General features: G+C 44.7%; 1 protein-coding gene across 39 annotated transcripts in view; it reads left to right on the top strand.

The window, feature by feature from the left end:
* The window catches only part of FNBP1 (formin binding protein 1), a 166,693-nt gene that overhangs the window by 76,705 nt on the left and 68,781 nt on the right, over positions 1-21,207 (top strand). For 37 of the 39 annotated variants that reach the window (NM_001439055.1, NM_001439054.1, NM_001439053.1 and 34 more), the window contains exons 5-6: positions 18,622-18,684; positions 19,711-19,815. In NM_001439055.1, coding sequence (NP_001425984.1) covers positions 18,622-18,684; positions 19,711-19,815 — 168 coding nt within the window. Of the gene's footprint in view, positions 1-13,992; positions 15,094-18,621; positions 18,685-19,710; positions 19,816-21,207 lie in introns of those variants that run through there. The other 2 variants (NM_001439051.1, NM_001439056.1) reach the window with 2 other exon arrangements.

Here is a 21,207-nt window from a genome sequence, read left to right as displayed (position 1 = left end):
CATTTTTTTTTTTTTTGAGACGGAGTTTCACCCTTTGGTCCAGGCCCGAGTGAAGTGGTGCGATCTCGACTCCCTGAAACCTCCGCCCCCCGGGTTCAAGCGATTCTCCTCCCTCAGTAGCTGAGATTACAGGTGCCCGCCACCATGCCCAGCTAATTTTTTGTATTTTTCGTAGAGATGGGGTTTCACCATATTGGTCGGGCTGGTCTCAAACTCCTCAGACCACCGTGATCTACCCGCCTTGGCCTCCCAAAGTGCTGGGATTACAGGCGTGAGCCACCGAGCCCAGCCACAACAGTTCTTTTAATGCCCTGGGGATACATGAGCCAACAAGATTACTATGGCTTCTGCTGAAATGGAGGAGACATTAAGTAATAATGACAAAAGTGATTATTTAATTGCAATTATGGTAGTTGCCACAAAGTAAGAGTAGAACGTGCTATGAGAGCATATAATAGGATTTCTGATATGCTCATGCTCTGGGGTCAGGAAGAAGCTTCCCAAGGGACTTCGCAGTTAAGGCCTTAACAAGACTTGAGGGATGATTAGGACCTGCCTGGGACAAGCATTCAATAGAGAGCAGCCAGGGCGCTTGGGCAGGAAGGTGTTTGAAAATGTCTCAATTTAGTTCTTTCTAAACTATAAATGTGTAGCATATGGCCTTGGATAGGTTTAAAAGTTAGGAAGAGATAAATGCCTTAAGATCAACCCATTGGTTTAAAACAACAATATGCCAATAAACTGAGATGAATCTTCATCTGTTGACATTAGCACAGTGGTTCTCAACTAGGGACAGTTTTACTCCCTACTCCAGCCACATTTATCAGTGTCTGGAGACACTTTTGGTTGTCTCAGGGATTGTGGCTAAGGGGTTGCTACTGGTATCTAGAGAGAAGAGGCCAGGGAGGCAGCTAAGCCTCCTACAATATACAGGACAGCTCCCCAACGAAGAATGACCTGGCCCAAAATGTCTATAGTGCTGAGAGTGAGAAACCCTGCACTGGAGCCCTAAATTAGATGACAGTTTCTGCTGGACCATTCATTAAAGATTTCTTTAGTGACAGAAAGGATGCAGTGAAACAGAATACTAAGGTTCAGAATGAAGTACAAATATCTAATATAATAAAATAAATACCAGAAATCTTAACATGATCCTGGACTGCTTCCCTGGACCCTGAACTTCCCTTGACCTTGCAAAGGTTTATATTTTTTTCCTGGTTGTTTCTTTTGTCAATGCTTTGTCTCTCTCCTTTTTTTTTTTTTTTTTTTTTTAAGATGGAGTCTCACTGTGTTGCCCAGACTGGAGTGCAGTGGCACGATCTCGCCTAACCACAACCTCCACCTCCCAGGTTCAAGCGATTCTCCTGCCTCAGCCTCCCAAGTAGCTGGGATTACAGGCACATGCCACTATATCCGGCTAATTTTTTATATTTTTGGTAGAGATAGGGTTTCACCATGTTGGCCAGGCTGGTCTCGCACTCCTGACCTCAAATGATCCACCCGTCTTGGCCTCCCAAACTGCTGGGATTACAAGCGTGAGCCACCGTGCCCCCTCGTATTCCTTTGCTGTGTTATGGTCAAGTTGTTTTATATTTTATTTACTCACTGTTAATGATGACTTTTTTATAGTCTGTCATATCTGTATTTCGGATTTAGTTCCTTTTGTTAATCAAAAATTACAGTAATTTATGGAATAAATTATAGGTGGTACAGATACACATTAAATATCTTGCAATACATAGTGTTCCTTTTATTTTAAGAAGAACTGCAAGTACAGGTTTCTGAGTCAGATGTTCTGTTGGGAGGAGCTGTAAACATCATGCTCTTTTGAAACATTCTGTTATTAAATTAAAATGACATTTTAGAAAATCATGAAACCTTTTGAAATATTAGAACAAATATCAGTAAGCAAATGTGTGTATTTGTGCTATTTAATTTATTTATTTAATTTTGTTTGAGACGGAGTCTCGCTCTGTTGCCCGGGCTGGAGTGCAGTTGCACAAACTCGGCTTACTGCAGCCTCCGCCTTCTGGGTTCCAGTGATTCTCCTGCCTCAGCCTCCTGAGTATCTGGGATTACAGGTACCCCCTACCATGCCCGGCTGATTTTTGTATTTTTAGTAGAGATGGAGTTTCATCATGTTGGCCAGGCTGGTCTCGAAATCCTGAGCTCAGGTGATCCGCCTGCCTTGACCTCCCAAAGTGCTGGGATTACAGGCGTGAGCCACTGCACCTGACCTGTTTGTACTATTTTAATATAATGCTTCATGAGCATTTTTTTTCTTTTTCCTTTTTTCTTTCTTTCTTTTTTTTTTTTCTTCAGGGTCTCATTCTGTTGCCTAGGCTGGAGTGCAGTGGTGCGATCATGGCTCACTGTAGCTTCAACCTCCTGAAGTCAAATGATCCTCCTATCTTAGCTTCCCAAGTAGCTGGGACCACAGGCATATGCCACCATGCTCAGCCAGTTTTTAAAAATTTTGTAGAGACAAGGTCTTGCTGTGTTGCCCAGTCTGGTCTCAAACTCCTGGGTTCAGGCGATTTTCTCACCTCAGCCTCCCAAAGTGCTGGGATTATAGGCATAAACCCCCATGCCTGGCCTGTTTTTTCTTTTCTCTACATAATCGTTGCCATTATTTTGAATGAGTAAATGATGAATTAGCATTATGGTATACTAACCACTGTAATTTAAAAAATGATTCCAATAATATTGGAGGCCTGGCGTGGTGGCTCACGCCTGTAGTCCCAGCACTTCGGGAGGCCGAGTGTTTAGCCTCATGCTTGCTATAGATTATAATAGCTAACCTCAATGGGGACTGCTGGTTCTCCAGATTTTACCCAAGATATGGACCCTGGAGCACAGGAAGGTGCAGTGAGCTGGGTGTGTTGCTCTGTTGCAGAGCTGGGGGGTCCCCAGGCTGCTTCCCTCTCGGGGCAGTGCGTGTTTGTAGGCATGGTTTTTTTTCCAGTGAGTTTTTTTCGACATACCTTCAAGGATGCTGGAGTAAACAGTATGAACATCCTCATCTGCAGCTAGTCTTAGAAAAAGAGCTGTTTGGCTGGGCGCGGTGACTCACGCCTGTAATCCCAGCAATTGGGAGGCTGAGGCGGGCAGATCACTTGAGGTCAGAAGTTCGAGACCAGCCTGGCAACGTGATGAAACCCCTTCTCTACTAAAAATATAAAATACATTTTAAAAAATTAGCTGGGCATGATGGTGCATGCCTGTAATCCCAGCTACTCAGGAGGCTGAGGTACAAGAATTGCTCGAACCTGGGAGGCGGAGGTTGCAGTGAGCTGAGATGGCACCACTGCACTCTAGCCTGGGTGACAGAGTGAGACCCTGTCTCAAAAAAAAAAAGAAAAAAAAAGAAGAGGCCAGGCGCGGTGGCTCATGCCTGTAATCCCAGCACTTTGGGAGGCCAAGGCAGGCGGATCATGAGGTCAGGAGATCGAGACCATCCTGGCCAACATGGTGAAACCCGTCTCTACTAAAAAAAAAAAAAAAAAATTAGCCGGGCATGGTGGCGGGCGCCTGTAGTCCCAGCTACTTGGGAGGCTGAGGCAGGAGAATGGCGTGAACCCAGGAGGCGGAGCTTGCAGTGAGCCGAGATCGCGCCACTGCACTCCAGCCTGGGCGACAGAGTGAGACTCCGTCTCAAAAAAACAAACAAACAAACAAAAAACAGAAAAGAAAAGAAGAAAAGGAGCTATTTAAGACCTTCTCGTAATAACCAACATTTCTCCTTTAGAGCTTTTACTTTTGGCTACCCTGACTTGACTTAGTAAACACTATTTTATTGTAAGGATGATTCTTAAAACAACAGTGGAATGCTATCATTTCTGTCTTCTGGTGAGGTTAATTATTGGCGCACACAGCATAACAGAGTTAGAGCTCAAATCCAGGTTTTCTGAGGCCAGACTCAGTCGCCTTCCCACTATGCTGTGATGAGGGGCTGACAGCATGCTTCAGGTCTGTCTTAAAAGACAGGGAGAGGCCACATAAGTTCTGTGTTCACAGAGCTGGAGCCCCCTGCTTGGTGGTGGGCAGCGAGAGGAAAGGATGCAAGCTTTCCAGCCAACAACCCTGCTCAGGATTCCTGGCAGCCCTGCCCTAGGCAGGTTATGAAAACTCTATGAGCATACACTTAGGAATCTGTAAGCTGAGGCTGATTATAGCCACCTTAGGAAGTTGTGGGGACAATTATGAGAAGACAAATATGAACCTCCCAGCACAACGTTCCAGTATACTGATAAATAGATGCTGCATATCCAGTTTCTCTTGCTGTAATCATTCTGTTACTTAATGCAGAATCTCATTTCCATCCCAGAGCTTCTCGATCAGGGCTTGTTACAGAAAACGGAGCACCTATAATCCCAGCACATTGGGAGGCCAAGGTGGGCAGATCACCTGAGGCCAGGAGTTGAAGACCAGCCTTGCCAACATGGCGAAACCCTGTCTCTACTAAAAATACAAAAACTATCCAGGCACAGTGGCGCGTGCCTGTAATCCTAGCTACTCGGGAAGCTGAGGCAGGAGAATCACTTGAACCTGGGAGGCAGAGGTTGCTGTGAGCGGAGATCATGCCATTGCACTTTAGCCTGGGTGACAGAGTGAGACTCCATCTCAAAAAAAAAAAAAAGAAAAAGAAAACGGAGCATGTTTAGGCCTTCTGTGAGCAGGTGTCATACGGTAGTTGTTCAGTGATTTTAAAATGACCTTTCTAAAAATGTGTAATTGGGCCAGGCACAGTGGCTCACTTGAAGTGGTAATCCCAGCACTCTGGGAGGCCGAGGCGAGTGGATCACTTGAGACCAGGAGTTCGAAACCAGCCTGGCCAACATGGGGAAACCCCATCTTTACTAAAAATATAAAAATTAGCTGGGCGTGGTGGCAGGCACCTGGAATCCCAGCTACTTGGGAGGCTGAGGCAGGAGAATCGCTTGAACCCGGGAGGCAGAGGTTGCAGTGAGCTGAGATTGTGCCACTGCACTCTAGCCTGGGCGACCGAGCAAGACTCCATCTCGAAAAATAAATAAATAAATAAAATGTGGAATTGGTTGATGGCATAGGAAACAAGAAGCTGCTTTTAACATTTTAGACCCAGCTACTATTTTTCGTGGCTGACTAGAAATAATGCCTTACTTAAGTACCATCCTTAACCATCAGCACAGTACAGATTGGGCCATTTGATACAGCGGCAGAATCCTGGCTGCCCAAAGGGATGATTTTGAATTTACAGGATTAGTGCTGGATCTCATTACTGCATATAGAAAGAATGTCCAAGTTCAGTGGACAATACTGGTTGAAAATTACTTTTTATCTACATTTTGCTGTGTTTAAATGGATGAATCTCTGACAAGGGTAAGCGTGATGAAAAATGGCTCTCTGTGCAAAGACGATGTTTCCTTCCTTTTTGTTGTACGGCATTCTTGCCTTTGTAGCCCTACCAGCTGTTTGATCTTTAAGTCTTCAAATCTAACTGTAGGATGGGCACAGTGGCTCACGCCTGTAATCCCAGCACTTTGGGAGGCCAAGGCAGGTGGATCACCTGAGGTCAGGAGTTTGAGACCAGCCTGGCCGACATGGTGAAACCCTGTCTCTGCTAAAAATACAAAAATTAACCAGGCGTGGTGGCATGTGCCTGTAGTCCCAGCTACTCTGGAGGCTGAGGCAGGAGAATCATTTGATTCCAAAAGGCAGAAGTTGCAGTGAGCTGAGATCGCACCACTGCACTCCAGCCTGAGTGACAGAGTGAGACTCTGTCTTAAAAAAAAACAAAAAACAAAAATCTAACTGTAAAATAGGATTACTACTTCTACTTAAGTATCTAGGAGAAAAGATGCTTTTTATTCTGCACATATACTGTATTTTTGTATCACAACGCAGTTCATTTTAATGTTATGAATATCCATTGTTTTTCCTGATGAACAAAACTGTAGGCTCATTTTGGTGAAAATGTTGGTTTTTAAAAAATGCAGATTCACGGCCAGGCGCGGTGGCTCACACCTGTAATCCCAGAACTTTGGGAGGCGGAGGTGGGCATATCAAAAGGTCAGGAGTTCCAGACCAGCCTGACCAACGTGGTGAAACCCTGTCTCTACTAAAAATAGAAAAAAAAAAAATTAGCTGGGTGTGGTGGTGTGCGCCTGTAATCCCAGCTACTCAGGAGGCTGAGGCAGGAGAATTGCTTGAACCTGGAGGCGGAGGTTGCAGTGAGCCAAGATTGCACCACTGCACTCAAGCGTAGGTGACAGAGTGAGACTCCATCTCAAAACAAAACAAAACAAAACAAAAAGCAGATTCACTAAAAAGAGAACCTTTCTCCCCTGCAAGAACTTAGCAGTTTAGGTTCTTCCTTGCCTGACATCTGAGCCTGCATCTGTCTCTTTAGGAAAACATGAGCAGTCCTGGAAGCCCTGGACAAGGAGGTCCTATAGCTTCTTCACCTAGTGGGTTCCACTTAGGGCAATTGCATTTTCAGTGAGATGTTCGCCATCTCTTTAGACATAATGGAATCAGTGGCCAGTCCTTGGGGTGCATATAAAAAGAATATTACTAAAACGGAATTAAAGGACAAAATCTCACAATCCCTTATAAATCAAAAATCCTCATTTTTCAAAGCTTTCTTCCTGATATCATTTGCAGATATGTATAACATTTAAGAATATTGGCTGGGCGCAGTGTCTTATGCCTGTAATCCCAGCACTTTGGGAGGCCAAGGCGGGTGGATTGCTTGAGGTGGCGAGTTTGAGACCAGCCTGGCCAACATGGTGAAACCCCGTCTCCACTAAAAATACAAAAATTAGCTGGGCTTGGTTGTGCATGTCTGCAATCCCAGCTACTCGGGAGGCTGAGGCAGGAGAATTGCTTGAATGCAGGAGGCAGAGGTTGCAGTGAGCCGAGAACGCGCCACTGCACTCCAGCCTGGGTGACAGACAGGACTCAGTCTAAAAAAAATAATAAAATAAAAGGCCAGGCGCAGTGGCTCACGCCTGTAATCCTAGCACTTTGGGAGGCCGAGGTAGGGGGATCATGAGGTCGGGAGATCGAGACCATCTTAGCTAATATGGTGAAACCCTGTCTCTACTAAAAATACAAAAAAAAAACAAACCCAAAAACTTAGCCAGGCGTGGTGGGAGGTGCCTGTAGTCCCAGCTACTCAGGAGGCTGAGGCAGGAGAATGGCGTGAACCTGGGAAGCGGAACTTGCAAGGAGCCGAGATCGCGCCACTGCACTCCAGCCTGGGCCACAGAGTGAGACTCCACCTCAAAAAAAAAAAAAAAAAGTTAGGAATATTAATCCTACTATAGCTATAATTTATATTCTTCTTGATTCTCCATTTAATATTGTAAGCATTTTCCATGTTTCTACCTCAAAAAGTATACGTTTTTGTTTTTAGATTTAAAAAAAAATTTTTTTTTAATTTTTTTTAGGGATAGGGCTGGCTATGTTGCCCAGGCTGGTCTTGAACTCCTGGGCTCAAGCAATCTTCCCGCGTCGGCCTTTCAAAGTGCTGGGATTATAGGAGTGAGCCGTTGTGCCTGGCCAAAAGTGTAGTTTAAATAATTGGAATTTTTTCAAAGTTATTGGAAGAGATATTAAAAAAGAAAGAAAAATATTTGGAATTTTAGTAGCTGTGCATTGTTCTAACAAAGTTATAATTTGCCTAATTGTGTATTGTTTGATTTATAGGGTATTACCAGTTTTTGACTCATTTACTTAGTTAGTTGTGTAAACAATACAGCAGTAAACTCTTTACTTCCAAAGCTGTTTGCATTGTGTGTGGGCTGAGATTACTTCCCCAAACTAAATTCCCAGAAGTGAGACTGTGAGGTCAAAGCATACATGATTAAACATACATGATTTATGGTTCTTGATAAAACTCTGATAATTTATGTTCAGATAATTATAGTAGAATTACAGATAGAATTATCAATAGATTTACAGACTTATAGATAGATTTCCAAATGTCACTGAAATGATCAACATGGGTGTGGAATTAGCTTATCTGAGATGTGGGTAATTCAGAGTTGATAACACATATATTCCTCCATAAGAACTACTGTAAATGTACTCTTATCAGCAACTTTTGAACATTGAGTCAAGTTATTGAAGAAAAGAGTTTTAGAGGTTGTTTGGTGTAGCTGCAGCCTTTGAGTACGTCTGGGCTTTTCCACAGCGATTACCACTAATCATATATGAGAAATTTGTGAAGATTTATAGCTCCAGAAGGAGAACCAGGAGGTTCTTGCCAACATTTTCTGGAATTCCAAGAAAACTTCTCCCTGCAGGTGGAAAATATGGTTCATTACTCACAAAGTGTTGGCCAGAAGCAGAATCACTTTTTGGCAGCAGTTATCTGAAGAGTTCTAGAGGAAACAATTATACAATACTTTCAGTGACTCACTAAAATGTTTATAAACCTCAGACCTGTATGCTTACAGACTCCACATTACTTAGAATTGACCATTTAAAACTACTCGCGAGGTTTCTGAAATGTTTGAAAATGGATACTGCACTAAAACCTATAACATTCTTTTCAAAGTTAGATATTCAATAGGTCCTATTTATGGATCTTATGAAGGGGCTTAATTTCCTATAAGCCAGTTCTGCAGCATGGACTGACTCCAATACATTTAGGAAAACAAAATGTTGTTATAAGAGATGACAGCAAATAGGTAAAGCTTAGCATGAAGGAAAGCAAAAACTAAAAGGAGTTTATGTATATAATCTAGCTACTTACAAGTCCATTTCTGATTTTTTTTTTTTTTTTTTTTTTGAGACGGAGTTTTGCTCTTGTTGCCCAGGCTGGAGTGCAATGGTGCAATCTCGGCTCACTGCAACCTCTGCCTCCCAGGGTCAAGCAATTTTCCTGCCTCAGCCTCCCCCATAGCTGGGATTACAGGCGCCTGCCACCACACCTAGCTAATTTTTGTATTTTTAGTACAGACGAGGTTTCACCATGTTGACTAGGCTGGTCTCAAACTCCTGACCTCAGGTGATCTGCCTGCCTCGGCCTCCCAAAGTGCTGGGATTACAGGCATGAGCCACCATGCCCAGCCATCTTCTTTGTTTTGAAAGAACATGTAAAAGTGGCATTCTGTTCATTAAAAGTGGGCCCTTTCACCACTGTGGTTGTTTCACCTGCAAAACCACTGGTCTGGTGACCCCCCCGCCAAAAAAAAAAAAAAAGTTTTCCAGCTACCTGAAAGGCTGAGGCAGGAAGATTGCTCAGGGCCGGGGAGTTCAAGACCAGCCTGGACAACATAGTGAGATCCACCCCCCAATCTCAAAAAAAAATTTCTTTTTAAATTTTATCATTCATGGGATAACATACTTAGTAAACAGGACACTCAAATTCTTTTCTTCATTTCATGGGCTTGAAATGTGATCTTGGATTTTGTGTTTCTCCTTTGCAAGCTAGAATTAATGATTTCCTTTTCTTCTGGGAATTGTGAGAATTACTTGACTCACATTTCGTATCTCACATGATTCTTGTTCGGCCACCTGTTTGACATCTCTCCTTAGATGCCTAATACAGCATCACCATTGCACCTTTGTCAGCAGAGGACTGGAGTCCAGCAAGTGTGAATGATGGCTCCAGAGTGGTGTAGTGCAGTGACCCTGTTAGCCCACCCCAAAACAAACTTTTTTTTTTTCTGAGACGGAGTCTCACTCTGTCACCAGTCTGGAGTGCAGTGGCGCTATCTCGGCTCTCTGCAAGTTCCGCCTCCCGGTTCAAGCCATTCTCCTGCCTCAGCCTCCCAAGTAGCTGGGATTACAGGCACCCGCCACCACGCCTGGCTAATTTTTGTATTTTTAATAGAGACGGGATTTTGCCATATTGGCCAGGCTGATCCCGGAGTCCTGTCCTCAGCTGATCTGCCTGCCTTTGCCTCCCATAGTGCTGGGATCACAGGCGTGAGCCACCGCTCCCGGCCCCAAAACCAACTTCTGATCCCCCAAAGTCCTTATCCATGTTCCATTCCAGTCTGCACTCCCTCCAGTTCTCAATAAATGGGACACCTTTTCTTACACTCAGGTGCTCTGGCCAAACACATAGTCACCCAGAGCTTTTCTCTTTTCTCTTACACACCATCTCTTATCTGTTAACAAGTCTAGCTGGCTCTGCCTTCAGTAAATGTTCTGAGTCCAAGCACTTCTCACCCCTCTTCCACATCTACCCCAGTCCTGTGCCTCATTATCTCTCATCTAGAGGACTCTGCTGAGCCTCCTAATTCATTTCTCTGCTTCCATGCTTACCCTGTGGCCAGTGGTCCAACTGTCCATCTCCATGTCAGAGCCACCACCAGCTCTCCCTTAGAGAGAGTGCAAGTGTAACAGCCTCCCCCTGCAGCAGCCAGCTTGACATTGAAATAATGTAGATCAGGCCATGTCACTTCCTTTCTTTTGTTGTTGTTGTTGTTGTTGTTGTTGTTGTTTAGACGGAGTCTCGCTCCATCACCCAGACTTGGAATGCAGTGGTGCGATCTCAGCTCACTGCAACCTCCGTCACCCAGGTTCAAGCAATTCTCCTGCCTCAGCCTCCCAAGTAGCTGGGATTACAGGTGTGTGCCACTATGCCCAGCTAATTTTTTTTGTATTTTTAGTAGAGACGGCATTTCATCATGTTGGCCAGGCTGGTCTCGAACTCCTGACCTCAAATGATCCGCCCATCTCGACCTCCCAAAGTGCTGGGATTACAGGCGTGAGCCACTGCATCCGGCTGTCACTTCCTTTCTTAAATCTTCCAACATGCTTACCGTGGCTGGTGAGGCTGTCCATGGTCAAGCCCCTGCCTGCCCTCCGTCCCTGTGCCCTTTACCTTGGTCTAGTGGCACTGGCATCCAGCTGTTCCTCAAACAGGGCAAGCCCCTTCACACTCAGAGCATCTGCACTTGCTCTGCCTGCGGCTTGGAGGGTATTCCTCAGACCCTTGTAAGTTCACTCCCACGTTTTATGCAAGTCTCTACTCAAATGTCATCCCAGACTGCCCTTGTCTAAAATAGCTACCTTCACCTACACCCATCCCTCCTTATTCCTTTACCCTGTTTGTCTTACTTCTGGATCCACTCAGTTTCACTGGGACAGGGGACTTTGTTTTGTTTACACAGCTTTCCTCGTGCCTGGAGCAGCCCTGTTCACAAGTGGGCATGTCAGTGAGCATGGGATGATCACCCTGGCACTCTATCTAAAAATCTTATTGATGGGAGATTCTCTGTATCAGATGCTGCAAGTAACAGCTTTATATCCTCAGAAGGGATCAGGCAAGAAAATGAGCCATTCCATGAGAGGAATTAAGATTTCTTGATTGATTTCCTTCCTTCCTTCCTTCCTTCCTTCCTTCCTTCCTTCCTCCCTCCCTCCCTCCTTCCCCCCTCCCTCCCTCCTTCCCTCCCTTCCCTCCCTTCCTTCACTTCCTTCCCTTTCTTCTTTTCTTTTTCTTTCTATGTGTGTGTGTGTGTGCGCGCGCGCGCGTGTGTGTGTGTGTTTTAAGAGAGATGGGGTTTCACCATGTTACCCAGGCTGGTCTCAAACTCCTGGCCTCAAGCGATCCCCCTGCCTCGGCCTCTCAAAGTACTGGGATTGCGGCCTAGGGATGCGAATTTCAAGGAATGTGAAGACAGGATTGCTTTGAAAAACAGATAAAAGATCATTGCTGCATGTGGAGCCTTCTGGGTGAGAATAACCGAGGAACAGTGAGCAGAGGAGTAGCCAGAGAAGGAGGGAGGGAAAATGCTGCTGCTTAGGCCTGACCCTGGCCCATTGCCTCATGCTGCTCAGTGTTACGGGTAAAGTCAAGCAACTGAGCATGCCTCTGAGAGGTAGGCATTTAGAAAACTTCGAACACGTTCATTAAGAAGGTATTTTTACTATGGATAAACTTGGAAAAATAAGCCTTGCTAAGTAAAAATAGAATGTGTGTCCCTTAGTGAACGTTTCTGGTTTCTGGTTTGGGTTTTAAGTGGGGTACGACATACCCACTTGAACAGGACTAAGGCGTTTTGCCATTACGCCACATGGTCCATAGAAATATCCACGCCGCTTAGAGTTCTAGCTCAATTAAAACTGGGAGTCCTGATTCAGACTTGGAAGCTGCTCCTGTTCAAACCCACTACTACGCTGTGAGTTTAGAGGAAACAGGATTTGTCACAGGCATGTTTGCTGGAAGCTCCCTCTTTCTTTGCCCTTTTCAAGTCTTTTTGTTTCTTTGTTTGCATCTGTGGAATCTGAGTTTTATTTAAAATTCCAGATGGTTGACTGTTCTCAGTTGAGTGTTTATTCTTATGTTTTTTTCTACTTTTTTTTTTTTGAAAGGGCTGTTCTCACATCAGTGCCATATTTTGCTCTTTTAACTGTTAATGGTTTAATATCTATATAAATAGCAAAAATGAGCAGCTGTTGTACCTAATTGCAGTGTGAATACTAAACATTCTCATAGCATTTGTGTGAGTTTGTCTGTTCTGTCTGTGATTTCTTGCAGTTCAGTAAAATTGTCTCAAAAGCTTTGCCATTGTCGTTTTTCTTAAAGTTAATGCTTGCTTATTTTAGATTCTCTGTGATTTTTTTTTTTTTTTAATCTCAGCCACCTCTGTTCACTGGGAAATTTCTTTAAAAAATTTGAAGGGTGATTTGATCTGTGTAGACTTTTATTTCAACTAAAAAGTTGAAATAAGTAAGTGTAGCTGTCACCCCAGAAACTATTAGGGTTTGGGTTTTTTTGTTTGTTTGTTTGTTTTAGCTTATTATTATGTTTTAAAAGAAACTAAAAGCATCTTATGACAGCAGAAAGTAAGAAGCATTTCTCTGGGTCTCTAGAGATGGCATTTCCTGTCTCTTTTCTGATAGGAGAGAAAGGAGCTGTGATGACTTCATTCTATGGCTCCAAAAGAAGCACTTTTTATCTTTGTCCGGAGAACAATTCCTCCTTCTTTAGTGCTTGCAGGCACACTTTTTAGACACACACTTGCTCACTGTCCAGAAAAGAAATGTTCGGCCATTGTTGGTAAACAACAAATACATCTGGCAAAGCTGGTTTATTTGTTTAACTTTGTAACTGTTAAAATAGCTTTTCCGGTGAAAGCAGCGAAGATAGAGCTAGAAACAAACCCCAGCTATTCAGGTCATGGTAGGCACAGAGCACAAAGGAGGGCTTTTGTTCCCTCCCTTAATTTCCTGAAGGATCCCCCAGCACGGATAGTTTTTCGTATGTTATGGCCAAATAAATGATAGAGGGACAGGTACTGTGAAAAAGGCTGGGGCTGGGCATGGTGGCTCATGCCTGTAATCCCAGCACTTTCGGAGTCTGAGGCAGGCATATCACTTGAGGTCAGGGGTTCGAGGATAGCCTGGCCAACATGGTGAAACCCTGTCTCTACTAAAAACACAAAAATTAGCCGGGCGTGGTGGCGCATGCCTGTAGTCCCAGCTACTCAGGAGGCTGAGGCAGGAGAATTGCTTGAACCCAGGAGGCGGAAGTTGCAGTGAGCCGAGATTGTGCCACTGCACTCCAGCATGGGTGACAGAGACTTGTTTTTTTAAAAAAAAAAAAAAAAAAGGCTGGAAGGAAGGAAGATGGGCATCACCCACAATCTCCTAAGCCCCATGAAATGGTACGATGATAATTGCAGTTTTCAGGTAGTGGTTTAATAATGTGGGGAGAGGTGTGGCTGAGCAGTCTTCATGAGAGATAACTTACCAGTAAATTCAAGGTGCACACCGTGCCTTAAACACAAATGCATATTTATTATATATTTACACTAAGGAGTGGCAAGGGAACCACTCTATGGATTTTTCAATCAAAATCATCCCTCGTGTTTTTAAAATAAGACTTTTTTTTTTAAGACTCTTGTCTTCAGAGATTTATTTTATATGAAAGTCAGGTGACATGTCCCAGGCAATGCCTGTCATTGTCTGCTGGGCTTCTGTGCATTTCCTGTCTCCACCCACAGCATTGCCCCAAGCTGGAGGGAGCTTTCACTTTGTTAAAACATTCACTTTCAGAGGTGCTGGAGAGATAGATCGTCAACCTCGAGTACAGCTCTGAATTGGTGCTGGGGTTTTCTCTTTTTGTTCCTGTCTTTGAATCTCAAAGTAAAACTTTTGGGAGCGGCTGCATCTCTTCAGCAAACTGCGTAACTCGGTGCTCCGGCTTAGGAAATGGGATCTTTCTCTTCGCAGAGAAGTCACCCGATAAAGACTTTCAGGACCAGAGGTGCCTTCCAAAAAGGGCACAGTTGAGCCCAGATGGTTTGAAATTGACGCTCTGGTCTCTGGGGGGTCCTCCCTGAAAGCGTGGCTTTCAGAAAACCCGCTTGTATTTTCTATACGTTCTCCACTAAGGTCCAGAGTTTCCCTAACCCTGTCCTTGGCTCTACTTCTTAATTCTCCCACAGCCTGGATCCCTTCTTTTCTGTTCTATCCTTATGTCCATTACAAGAGCTGAAAAACGAAGCCCCAAGGGGCTCCCCCTGGGTTTGCAGAGACCAAAAAATTGCTGGATAGATAAAACTGACTGCAAAGAGGCGCTTAAAACAGTGAAACTCGACCTCAAAAGAGAGACAAGAAAACATTCCCTTATAAAGGAGCACTGTTCTAAATCTGATGTTGTCTCTGCCTTCCCAGCCTTTCCAGTTGTCAGCTCCATTTTCTGACTCCGCTAAATCCTAGGTTCTGACGAGGTACGGGAAAAGCTCCGAGGCTCTACCTAGTGGACCTCTTTGTTTTTATCCTTCCTTCACCTGACCTTCTCTGCAGTGCACCCCTAACACCAATGCTTACCTTGTGAGCCAGAAAACAGACAGCACATTCAAACTCAGTAATTGAAGGAAGGTCGGTTATTAAAAGGAGCATTTACAACGTGGCGGATAGAGTTTAGGAAAAGCAGTGAGGATGGTTCAGTACCCTGGAGCAAGTCACAGTGGGGAGCTGATGTTGCCCCCAGGCCTCACAGGGCTGGAGGAGCCTTCCAGGAATTTCACAGATGAGGAACTTCTGAGGTTAGCTGCATGCGGGGCACTGCCTGACTGGAGCTGTGCCCTTTGGTCCAAGGACCCAGCCAACCTGTATCATCTCAGTGAGGAGAAGCTGCAGGTACAGTTTCCTGCCCTCTGATCACTCAGAACATCCTTGTGGCAAATCTCATCAGAACCAGAGGGCAAGGGTTCATGAGATCCCTGCATGTCAGTCTCTGGGGACCCAGACAGGGTGGAGAATGCACCTGGGAAATTTGCAGGACATTGACCAAGTCAGCGATGGTACAGTGTGGAAGGATACTAAAAGATTTAGGGGCCGGGCACGGTGGCTCACGCCTGTAATCCCAGCACTTTGGGAGGCCGAGGCAAGCGGATCACTTGAGGCCGGGAGTTCGAGACCAGCCTGGCCAACATGGTGAAACCCTGTCTCTACTAAAAATACAAAAAATTAGCTGGGCGTGGTGGGTCGCACCTGTATTCCCAGCTACCAGGGAGGCTGAGGCAGGAGAATCACTTGAACCCGGGAGGCAGAGGTCACAGGGAGGCAGAGGTCTCAGTGAACCGAGATCACGCCACTGTCCTCCAGCCTGGGCAACGGAACAAGACTCCGTCTCAAAAAATAAAATATATAAAGGATTTAGGGAACTGGTGATTTTAGGTCACTGAACAAAAAAAAGACACCATTCTCTTAACATTTCTGCATATTTCTAGCACTTCCTTCCTTGGGATCTTTGTCTTCTTTGGTCTCCTGGCTTTAACTATCCACTTTATACTGAAGACTCCCAAACTGGTCTTTAGTACAGACCGCTCCCTAAGCTCAGATCCACAAGTCCAAGTACATATTAGTCTCTCTACTTGTTTGTTTGTTTGTTTTTCGGGGGTTTTTTTGAGATGGAGTCTCTATCTGTCACCCAGGCTGGAGTACAATGGTACTATCTCGGCTCACCGCAACCTCCGCCTCCCAGTTCAAGTGATTCTCCTGCCTCAGCCTCCCGAGTAGCTGGGATTACAGGCATGCGCCACCATGCCTGGCTACTTTTTGTATTTTTAGTAGAGACGGGGTTTCACCATGTTGCCCAGGCTGGTCTAGAACTCCTGACCTTTGGTGGTTCGCCCACCTTGGCCTCCCAAAGTGATGGGATTACAGGCATGAGCCACCACGCTCGGCTAGTCTCTCTACTTGGGAGTCTCATAGAAATATCAGCCTTAACACATGTGAAACTACGTGTATGATCTTCCTCCTCAGACCCACTTCTCTCAGTCTTCCTTCTCCTAAAGCTCAGACTGACAACCTCGGAGTCACCCTGGGCAGCTCATTATTGCACATCTCATCTTATCTCCCAGAAAATCCTGGAAGTTTGGGTGATCAAAAGGTGCCCAAAACCTGACCCCTCTCACCACCTGCACTGCTCGCTACCTACAACCTGTCCAAGTTGCAGTAATCTCCAGGATTGTTACAAAAGCCTCCCACCATCTGAAATCTTTCCTTCACAACATCTTAGAGTTACTCATCGACTCTGGTTCATTCAGGCAAAAAAGCCTACAAGACCCTATACAACTCCCTCTTTCTTCTCTGACCTCATATGATATTCTCCCCGAGGCTCCTCCAGATCTGGCCGCCAGGTTAACACCACACCAGAGCCTGCCTCAGGGCCTTTGCAGATGGCCAGGAGGGAAATTTATCTTTATATTTAAAATAATCTAATAATGAAAACAGCCATGCACACAAAACACTCAAAACTCTTACTCAAGTGTTTATAGCAGCAATTTTCTTTTTCTTTTTCTTTTTCTTTTTCTTTTTTTTTTTTTTTTTTTTGAGATGGAGTCTTGATCTGTCACCCAGGCTGGAGTACAGCAGCGCGATCTCGGCTCAGTGCAGTGCAACCTCCAGCCCCCTAGGTTTTAAGCAATTATCCTGCCTAAGCCTCCGGAGTAGCTGAGATTACAGGTCCACGCCACCACGCCCGGCCAGTTTTTGTATTTTTAGTAGAGACAGGGTTTCACCATGTTGGCCAGGCTAGTCTCAAACTCCTGACCTCGTGATCCGCCCACCTCTGCCTCCCAAAGTGCTGGCCTGGCCGCATTTTTCATAATAGCCCAAACCTAGAAACAACTCTGATGTCTATCAACTGTTGAATGGATAAACAAAATGTGGGATAGCCACATGATGGAATAATCATTTGGCAATAAAAAAGAATGGAGTACTGATACATGTGACAATGTCGACCTTGAAATCATGCGAAGTGGATATGAGGAGATAATGAACACATCCCAGTTACCAAAGGCCTCAGACCATGTCTCCATTCATAGGAAACAGCCAGAATAAACAAATCCACAGACAGAAACAGGCTCCCTAGGGCTGAGGAAGATGGAGGGTGACGGCTAGTGGGTACAGGTTTCTTTTAGGGGTGATAAAAATATTCTAAAATTGGTCGTGGTGATGGTTGTACAGTTTTGTGAATTGCTTAGTTTAAATGGTAAATCAGATCATATCTGAATCATATCTCAAAGCAGTTAAAAAAGATGAAGCGATCGCTGTCTTAAAACATTCCTGTCGTTTTTCCAAGTGGCATATATGTCTTCAAATTTTATTTTATTTTTTTATTTTTTGAGACCGAGTCTTGCTCTGTTGCCCAGAGCTGGAGTGCATTAGCACGATCTCAGCTCACTGCAACCTCTGCCTCCCAGGTTCAAGCAATTCTCCTGCCTCAGCCTCCCAAGTAGCTGGGATTACAGGCACGCACCACCACGCCTGGCTGATTTTTGTCTTTTTAGTAGAGATGGGGTTTCACCATATTGGCCAGGCTGGTCTTGAACTCCTGACCTCATGATCCACCCACTTCAGCCTCCCAAAGTGCTGGGATTACAGGTGTGAGCCACCGTCCAGCCTATTTTATTTTTTTGAGATGGGGTCTCATTCTGTCACTCAGGCTGGAGTGCAGTGGCACGATCACGGCTCACTGCGGCCTCAACCTCCCAGGCTTAGGTGAGCTTCCAACCTCAGCCTCCCAAGTAACTGACTACAGGTGTGCTCACCACCATGCCTGGCCTGTCTTCAAATTTTATACAGTTGTACCTAAAGCTGTAAAGGGAACTCTGTGACTGCTTTTTTTCCCCCCAAGTGAAACTTGTTTCATCTGTGATGACTATTCTTGTTTTCGTTTCCACATTAAGCTTTTTATTCCCTTTTCCTTTTTTTTTTTTTTTTTTTTTTGAGGCAGAGTTTCACTGTGTCATCCAGGCTGGAGTGCAGTGGTGCAATCACAGCTCAATGTGGCAGTGTCAACCTCCCTGGACTTAGGTGATCCTCCCACCTCAGCCTCCAGAGTAGCTGGGACTATCAGTGTGTGCCACCACATCCAGCTAATTTTTCTATTTTTTTGTAGAGTGGGGGGTCTCACTGTGTTGCCCAGGCTGTCTTGAACTCCTTGGCTCAAGCGATTCTTCTTCCTCAGCCTCCCAGGGTTCTGGGATTACAGATGTGAGCCACCGCACCCGGCTACCCCTTTCAACTCTTAAATTTCTTTGGAGCATACATACTAGAGGTTCAATATTTAGATGTTGTTTAAGTGGATGAAAATGTTTCCTCCTGGGTTCATAAGAGAAGCAGAGGGTACTAATCACCAGTGTGTTTTCCCCTTTGCAGAACTTTCACGATGGCCGTAAAGCACAGCAGCACATCGAGACTTGCTGGAAGCAGCTTGAATCTGTAAGTGAACAATGCACAGCAAAAGAAACGGCTTTATAGATTTTTTTTTCTTTTTTTTTGAGACGGAGGCTCCCTCTGTTGCCCAGGTTGGAGTGCAATGGTGCGATCTCGGCTCACTGTAACCTCTGCTTCCCAGGTTCAAGTGATTCTCCTGCCTCAGCCTCCCAAGTAGCTAAGATTACAGGCACACGTCACCATGCCCGGCTAATTTTTGTATTTTTGGTAGAGATGGGGTTTTGCCATGTTGGCCAGGGTGGTCTTGAACTCCTGCCCTGAAGTGATTCGCCCACCTCGGCCTCCCAAAGTTCTGGGATTACAGGCGTGAGCCACTGCACCCAGCCTAGGAAATGTCTTTATAGATTTTCCAGTTTCAATTTAATTTAAGCTTGAGTCAATCAGAAAGTAAAAAACATGCACATAAAAACACTAATGAAACATCTTTATAGATTTTTCTCATTTAATTTGTTTCTAGAACCATTATCTAAAGTTGAGCCAAAAGAGCTCAAGTTGAGTATTTTTCTAAAAGTCACGTGGAAATAATAAAGATTAGACAGTTTTGATGGAAATAAATGCAGATTTTAAAATAACTTCTAGAAATTATGACATATAAGAAATCAATTCAGAGAAGAGTATTCTTGGGCCAGACACATTGGCTCACGCCTGTAATCCCAGCAATTTGGGAGGCAGAGGCGGGAGGATTGCTTGAGCTCAGAAGCTCAAGACCAGCATGGGCAACATGACAAAACCTAGTCTCTACAAAAAAATGCAAAAATTAGCTGGGCATGGTGGTGCATGCCTGTAGTCACAGCAGCTAGTGAGGCTGAGGTGGGAGGATCACCTGAGCCGGGAAGGTCAAAGCTGCAGTGAGCCAAGATGGCGCCACTGCACTCCAGCCTGGGTGACAAAGTGAGACCCTGACTGAAGAAAAAAAAAAGAAAAAGAACAATGCTCTTTGGGAGCTTTAGATAAAATTACATCTTCTCGTAGGACTCTTATGGTTTCATAATTATTTTCCTCTGATTTTAGAGTAAAAGGCGATTTGAACGCGATTGCAAAGAGGCGGACAGGGCGCAGCAGTACTTTGAGAAAATGGACGCTGACATCAATGTCACAAAAGCGGATGTTGAAAAGGTGAGGTGAAAGCTCAAGTGTGGGCCGGGCACGGTGGCTCACGCCTGTAATCCCAGCACTTTGGGAGGCTGAGGTGAGCGGATCACCTGAGGCCAGGAGTTCGAGACCAGCCTGGCCAAGATGGTGAAACCCCATCTCTACGAAAAACACAAAAATTAGCTGAGTGCAGTGGCAGGCACCTATAATCCCAACTACTAGGGAGGCTGAGGCAGGAGAATCGCTTGAGCCCAGGAGGCGTTGGCTGCAGTGAGCCAAGATCACGCCACTGCACTCCAGCCTGGGTAACAAGAGCGAAACTATCGCCAAAAAAAAAAAAAGACAAAAGAAAGCTCAAGTGTGTCTTTCATTTCCCCTGTGAGTGTTCATCACCGACCACCCATCCCCAAGTTCTCATTTCTAATGTAGCCACAAAAGGCGCTACATGGGGAATCATTTTCATTTTGTGTCAACCATTGTGGGGACCAGAAGCTCAAGTGTGGGGAATCTTCGGTGTTAGAATTTGAGACGTTTTATCTGTTGAGTCACCAGGGTGATAAAGTGGAGACTTAGACTATGAACAGTCTGGGAACAACGTTCCAGAAGGTTGTGGCTCTTAATGGCTTTTCAAAGAGAAAGTCAATTTCTTGAGAGCCGGAGGAGACAGGACAGGGCCATCTGGAAGAGCTTGGCTGCTTATAATGGTTCCTTTAGAGCAATAGTCTCACTGCTTGCCTGACTTCTAATTGATTCCTCCTGGTTGATAACAGTGAGGTTGTAGTTGAAGCCTTGCATATTTCAGTCCTCTCAAAAGCTTTTCTCTAAATGGACTTGTATTGCCAACTAGAAATATTATAAAGTGTATACTGTTTCTCATTGTGGCTCAATATGCGTTTTTTCCCTAGAAGCTGAATTTTATTTTTATTAAAGTCATCAATACAATGTAAACAAAATTAGGCTTTTACATAACAAGGACTCATTCATGATGCCCATGGTTGTTTGGGCATTCATAGCTTCATGCTGTATGTGGGTGAAAGCACTGAGTTTTTATAGATTTGTTGAGCTTTTGACAGATCAGTTAGAGTTGAGTTTAGTTGGGAAATGGTGTGAACTATTATTTGCCAAATTCTGCCAAATTCCTTGCTTAAAGACTAGGTATACGTTAATATTAGTATGCCTTTCTCTAAAATTATTAAATATATTAAAATACATATTCTTGCCAGGTGCTGTGGCACATACCCCTAGACTCAGCTACTTAGGAGACTGAAGCAAGAGGATTGCTTGAGCCCAGGAGTCCAGACTGGGCAACATAACGAGACCCCATCTCAGGAGCAGGGGAGTGTTCTCAATATCTGTATTTGATCTCAAAATGGAGATACTTACTTTACCAAAAGACATTAATTTGCTGCTAAAGTT

Source organism: Homo sapiens, chromosome 9 (assembly GCF_000001405.40).
Source record: "Homo sapiens chromosome 9, GRCh38.p14 Primary Assembly".
In the NCBI taxonomy this organism is placed as follows: domain Eukaryota; kingdom Metazoa; phylum Chordata; class Mammalia; order Primates; family Hominidae; genus Homo; species Homo sapiens.
This window is presented reverse-complemented; position numbering and strand designations above follow the sequence as displayed.